At 50.9% G+C, this 6,391-nt stretch overlaps 1 protein-coding gene across 1 annotated transcript in view; it reads right to left on the bottom strand.

Annotated features, from left to right (window-relative positions):
• Window positions 1-243: 243 nt before the first annotated feature.
• Window positions 244-6,391, bottom strand: part of RRP1B (ribosomal RNA processing 1B) — a 36,520-nt gene continuing 30,372 nt past the window's right edge. Inside the window, exons 14-16 of the mRNA NM_015056.3 lie at window positions 5,883-6,035; window positions 4,821-4,884; window positions 244-3,133 (exon numbers count right to left, since the gene is read on the bottom strand). Coding sequence (NP_055871.1) covers window positions 2,940-3,133; window positions 4,821-4,884; window positions 5,883-6,035 — 411 coding nt within the window. The 3' untranslated portion in view covers window positions 244-2,939. The remainder of the gene's footprint in view (window positions 3,134-4,820; window positions 4,885-5,882; window positions 6,036-6,391) is intronic.

Below are 6,391 nucleotides of genomic sequence, written 5' to 3'. Positions count from 1 at the left end.
GTTTTAGACACGATAGTGAGCAAGGGCATTTGTGCGCAGTGAGGCCTGCTTCAAGCACTTGGAGACGATCCCCGGAGCAGCGCCCCCACCGGCTCTGGCAGCAGCAGAGAGATGAAGAGAATGGTACCCAGAGTCTTGTTTTCAAACCCGACCAACACCAATATCTTCCCAACTCTGCTGTGCTGGAACAGCTCCCAAAGAGGCCTATTTTTACCCATACTGAAAGTCAACATCAAACACAAATTGGAGGGCAAAGACTTTTTTTTTTAATTGGACTTGGCTTTGACGAGTACTGACAAACCCTGCAGACACTAGTACAATTTGATCGTAAACAAAGTCCTTGCCAGCATAGTCCAGCAAATTCTGATAAAACACATACAAAAGTTAAAAGACAGCTCGATTTCATCTTCCTCCCAACACCTGCAACTGTTTCCAGATTTTCTGTGTAGTCTTCTTTGTGCTTTCAGTTCAGTAAAAATTAGAAAGGATAACAAACTTGTAAAGTCAGATACCTAATTGTACAAAATTGACTAGACCATGGAGAAGGGGGAAGCATCATTTTACAAAATATTGTTAAGATCACCAGCATTAATTTAAATTATTTTCCTTTCTGGACTTCCAAGTCCACTTGGCAATTTTACTTAGGAAAATATCATGCGTAAATAGAAAACCAGTATTCTAAACACATTTTCTTTATGTGACATATTCTTGTGCGTCTATGTAATGAGAATTTTTAAAAAATTGTTTTCTTCCTGCTGTCAAAACTTAGGCATTAAAAATAAGGGACTGTAAACCTAGTTGACTTACCCATAAAAAGGAGTAAGTTCGGAGAATGAGAGAAGGACCAATAGAATCTAAGAAGCACCCTGTCACTCCCAGCCGGGACCTCTCAGGCATGGTTTTGACAGGAGGTGCATTTATAGGACATTCACTGGTTCCTCAGAATGGACAGATAATATAGAAATGCTAGGAAAAAACATTCCTGCAATAGTCTGCAGAACAAATGTGCCAGTTTTGCCTTAGATGTCCTAAGACATCTCAACAATGTTGGATTATATGGCCCGTTTGGCTATATGACCCATCTTTAAAGCTGAAATAAAAATTGTTAGAAAAATATTCTAGGAAGAATGAAACTTAAAAAAAAAAAAGAAAAGTTAAAACTATTTGCTCACCTTAATTGTTTCACTGTATCAGTTTTGGTTCTGAATGGGATGTGAGGATCCTATCTAATGCAGCCATTAAGCCACCACAGCTATGTTGTACGTAAGACTTCTCATTACAGTGACGATTAACAGCACAAGTTCATTACTTTTTTCATGGCTCATTATGACAAAACGATTACAGAGTAGGCGAAGAACAGAGTGCTTTCTCCTCACCAGGGCCTTCATCAGTGAGTCAACTGCTCTTGACGCCAGCAAGTCAGTCTGATGTTCGCAGGTGAAACCCCACCCTTGGCTCCATGAATGAATGAGACCGAGGTAAACCCAATGCAAGCTCTGCAACCCCAGGGGCCGAAGCCACGTTGTCCAAAGCCATAGCTGGGACCTTGGAGATCCTGGGGCCCTCTGCTGGGAGGCAGCAGTGGAGAAGGGGACTGGCCGCGTTTTGCTGAAAAACCGAGGCTCCTGTATGGGGGGCATAACGGGAAGGAGGCGGCTTTCACTTCCAGGCCTGAGCAGAGCGTGGCTGGCTGGGAGAGCTGCACGCCAGCCCGAACCGTGTGCCCGTGCCCTCTCACCGTGCAGACGGTAGCTGCGGAAGCCACGGAGAAGGCGAGCAGCCTTGGCGGCTCTCCTCAGGAGCCGCTCACTTTGAATCTGCACCTTCTCCAGCTCTCAGGCCCAGGTCAGACACTTCCTCAAACAGATCAATGATCCAGCAATCGCTGCTCAAAAGAAGGCCTTATTTCTGTTTCTCCAACGAAAGCCTGAGTGCCTTCCGCCCGTGTTTGTAATGAACTTACAGGAGAACGGTCTGAACTGTAAGTGCACGCTTCCGCATTTGAGAGGAAAGGTCGCTGAGCCGGAGCGCAGGCTCCAGATGCGCAGGCAGCCTCTAGGGAAGATGGGGAGCTGCCATGGAGCCGGTCAGGCAGTGACTCGGCTGGAACGTGGACGGAGAGAGAGAGAAACGGGAGCGCAAGGGCTTGGAGGAATGAGTGTGCTCCACGCAAGGACCTCAGCAGAAGGCTCAGCACGGGGCGGGGTCCTGGGTAAGAGCCGGGGGCTGCGCTGGGCTCCCGGGAAGACACTTTGGGCTTGCCGTAGAGGTAGGAAAACAGGGAGGGAAACCGGGTAGGGGGAGGAGAAGAAAAAGCCCCCAGAACGCAGAGCCTCTTCTTTCCCCACCCCTACCTGTCCACACCCCCAGCTGAGCACATGTAGAAAAACTATGGTATTGCTGATTCTGTGACAAGAATCTTCCCCATCGGTAACCTGCCAAACACCCACAGAACATGGCAATGAAGCCCTACATGCTTTTAAAAGAAAACAGACTGTTAAGACTAACAGAAACCAACTTAGTACGGCGAATACGGTAATGAGTACCAAATTCCGCAGAACTGAGAGCTCAACAGAAGTGCAGTTCCACCTTTCATTGTGCCAGCAGCACTGATTGATTTAAAGTTCAGATCAACGTGCTCTCCTCAGCTTCAGAGAGGGTCTCATTTCCTACACCAATGGGAATCACTGAGGTTACCCAAAAATGTAAAATCCTGGAGAGCTCAAACGCAAACATGGTTTGTAGCAAAAGATTCAACCAAGACGCCCGCAGCCACTACAGAGGGGCCAGGACGCAGCAGCCTGCGGGCACTCTCAGAACCTCGTGCACACAACTTATGGGAACTTACAAAATCATAAAAAAGGCCCCACATTCTTAAAGGTATAATTTATAGCGCATTCTGTACAAAAGCAGTCTTTTACAAGGGACTCTGCTGCTCCTCAGAAGAAATCCATAGCCCTGGGCCTTCTCCTTGGTGTGGTGGTCAGGGGCTTCTTGGCCACCAGGGGTGAGCTGGCAGGTGAGCTGGTGGGGGTCTTCAGCACCCCGTGGAGGGGCTTCTGTTCAGGGTCGAAGGCCACTCGAGAAGGGCCCGTGGGACTGACCAAGATACTCTTGTCTGTCTTCTTGAATTCTGTCCCAAATGAGAGCAAGGCCCCATATTAAGTGGGTCCGACAGCTGTCCCTTCAACACCTTAGACAGCGTCCTGCCTGGGTGCCGACCCCACCCACTTGCTAGGACGAAGCAGGGCCATCTCAAGGCCCTGCAGAGAGCAGGCCCAAGAGCCTTCTGAGGAAAGGAGGGCAGTGAGGCCACATCCCATGCCTCAACTCACCCTCCCAAGGGAGGGCCCAGGGCTGCCTGCACAGACTAAGGGGAGCTGCTGGTAGGGTGGCTCCTGGAAGGGTGAACATTGGGGGTGGGGGTGTTTTGGACAATGAGTGAACCAGGCATTTGTGTCTGGGACAAATCTGTGCTATGTGGAGCTGCAGGATTCGTACTGTTCATTTTCTCCAGTTGTAAAGGCTGGGTGAGCTCCTCAGTCTCTCAGAGTCTCTTCTCCCTAAACATACACACTCACGCATGTGTGCATGCACACGCACACACACATATATACTGGTGCATGTACACACACTCACACATACACATACTCTCTATTACTTGCAGTTCCCAACAAGAGTCAGGTCCTAAATTCGTTATAATACTTTTTTTTTTTTTTTGAGATGGAGTCTCACCCAGCCTGTCACCCAGGCTGGAGTGCAGTGAAACGATCTTGGCTCACTGCAACCTCCATCTCCTGGGTTCAAGCAATTCTCCTGCCTCAGCCTCTCGAGCAGCTGAGACTACAGGTGCTTGCCACTACGCCCAGGTAATTTTTGTATTTTTAGTAGAGACGGGGTTTTACCATGTTGGCCAGGCTGGTCTCGAACTCCTGACCTCATGATCTGCCCACCTTGGCCTCCCAAAGTGTTGGGATTACAGGCATGAGCCACCGCGCCTGGCCTATACTACTTTTTAAAACTTTGGTTTCCTTTGTAAAAGCAACTCGAATGGATGGCACCAATATGAAAAGTAGGAAGATAGGGGTTACCCTTCTCTGTCGCCCAAGAAGCAAGTGGTTCCGAAGTTTCGCAGAGAGACAGCTACAGCTGATGGAGCACTACGATCTCAAATGGCCTCTCTATGGGACGGCTTTCAGTATTTAGAAAGACACTTGGGAAAACGGCTTTTTGGATCACGTCTCACCAGGTAGCTTCTCTTAACAGGTCCCAGGCAATTGGCTGCCCACTCACCACTGGCACCCCACTCACAGCCCTTTGAGGATGAGGGACAGACACATAGGTGCTTCCTTCTGACTCAGAAATGGGCAGTGAGGGGCCGGGCTCGGTGGCTCACGCTTGTAATCCCAGATCTTTGGGAGGCCGAGGCAGGCAGATCACCTGAGGTCAGGAGTTTGAGACCAGCCTGGCTGACATGGTGAAACTCCATCTTTACTAAAAATACAAAAATTAGCTGGATGTGATGGCGTGCACCTGTGATCCCAGCTACCCGCTACCCGGCAGCCTGAGGCAGGAGAATCGCTTGAACCTGGGGGGGCGGAGGTTGCAGTGAGCCAAGATCTCGCCACTGCACTGCAGCCTGGGTGACAGAGCAGCGAGACTCTGTCTCAAAAAAAAAAAAAAAATAAAAATAAAGAAATGGGCAGTGAGGAGCTAGGACCCCCCTCTTCCCCGACCGCCTTGTGGAACCAGGCTGCGAGCCGCGCCAGGAGCTGCAGCTGTGCTCCAGAGAAGCTTGCCGCTGGCAAAACCCCACTTACCGGCAGTCATGTTTCTGTTCAGCCCAAAGGTGACTTTCTTGGAGCTGGATGGTGTCTTGTTTAGCTGCAGAAGAGAAATAACAGGAACAAAAGGAGTGACGCAAGTGCAGTGGAGGCGCTTAGTCAGATTTTTCTGGAGAACCTGCCCTGGAGGGTATGCCGCCCACACTGCTGCTTACTGAGTGGCACATATAGGGAGAGGCCAAAGGGACTGCGGCCAAGACTGAAACCGACCCTCCTGTCGGGGCTTCACCAGGACCGCCCTTTGTCCTTCCCAGCGTCCCACACACGCAACCCCCCAGCCCAGGGTCAGTGGTGCCCACACTCTTGGCCCATCTGCGGTCACTGCCTCATTACCGCTGCAGGGTTCTACGATCCAGGGAAGAAAGGCAAACAGAGAGGATGCCTGAACTGTCCTAAAAACAGTTCACCACTGAGAACCCGTGAGGAAAAATGCCAAGACTCCCCTGCCTTTTGCTGGAGAGTTCTGAACTTCTAACTTGAAGACTCTATGACATCGATGAGACGATGCCTATGATGGAATCTCACTGCAATGGACAATGGACACACAGTTTCCAGCTTTTTGTGCACAAGGACTCTGAGCTATCTGCATATCCCAACAGTTCACCACAATCAACTATCTTCTTTCCTACTTACATTCCTGGAAGTGGATCCAGCCTGCATCAGGAAGCACTGCCTCAAGTTCCTGCTCTGACCCACATTTCTGTGTGGACCTCCTACTGCTGACTTGCACCACTTGTGTTTAACACTGTGACATTTCACGAGAGAAAACTGGTTTCTGCAAACCCTGAGCCGGAAGCCCTGGGAGGCAGAATGTGTGGATCAACCGCCCCTCAAAGTCCCCTTCCTGACTGTGATCCCTCAGGGTGGGTCCCAGACCACTCAGACCTTATGCTACCCTGGCCGTGGAACCTGTCCACTGTGGACAGGCTCAGAGGGCCACAGTGGGGCTCCAGGCCCGGCATGGGAAGCACTGTCAGCTCAAGCCCATCTGTGCCCTTGTGGTGAAATGTGCTGTGCCACTCTGGGGAGGGTGCGTACCTGGACGGCAGGGCCTGGAGGGTGGGTGGCAGTGCTGCTCTTGGCTCTTCTGAAGAACAGGGGCTTTGGTAAGAAGGGGGTGTCAAACTTCACAAAGTCGCTCTCTGCCCTCAGCTTCTGCTTCTTCAGGGAACTGCAAGTCCCACTGCTTCCCTACGTGAGCGAGGGGTGAGAAGCGGAGGAGGGGTCAGACGACAGAGCCTCCTGTGCTGCCCACACACACAGGAGGGGAAGGCAGAGCCCCAGGCAGATCCAGCCCACCCGACGGCCCGCGGTCTTCCGCACCGCACTTGCAGACAGCCCTTCCATTCGGCAGAGCTCAGGCTTCACGCACAACACGACCGCTATCATGGCACCATGCCAAGAGGGGCGATGAAAACGCCTCGTCAGAGTAAGGACCCACTTTTATCTTCATCTTCAAAATGGGGATTTTGGCCTTTCAAAGCCGATCTGTTAATAAGATCGACTCTCCCATTTGTAGCTGAATCGTCACTGCGCTGGCAGTCTGG

The sequence above is a fragment of the Homo sapiens genome, chromosome 21, assembly GCF_000001405.40.
Source record: "Homo sapiens chromosome 21, GRCh38.p14 Primary Assembly".
In the NCBI taxonomy this organism is placed as follows: Eukaryota; Metazoa; Chordata; class Mammalia; order Primates; family Hominidae; genus Homo; species Homo sapiens.
Note: the sequence above shows the minus strand (reverse complement) of the source record. Positions and strands in the feature narration are given on the sequence as shown.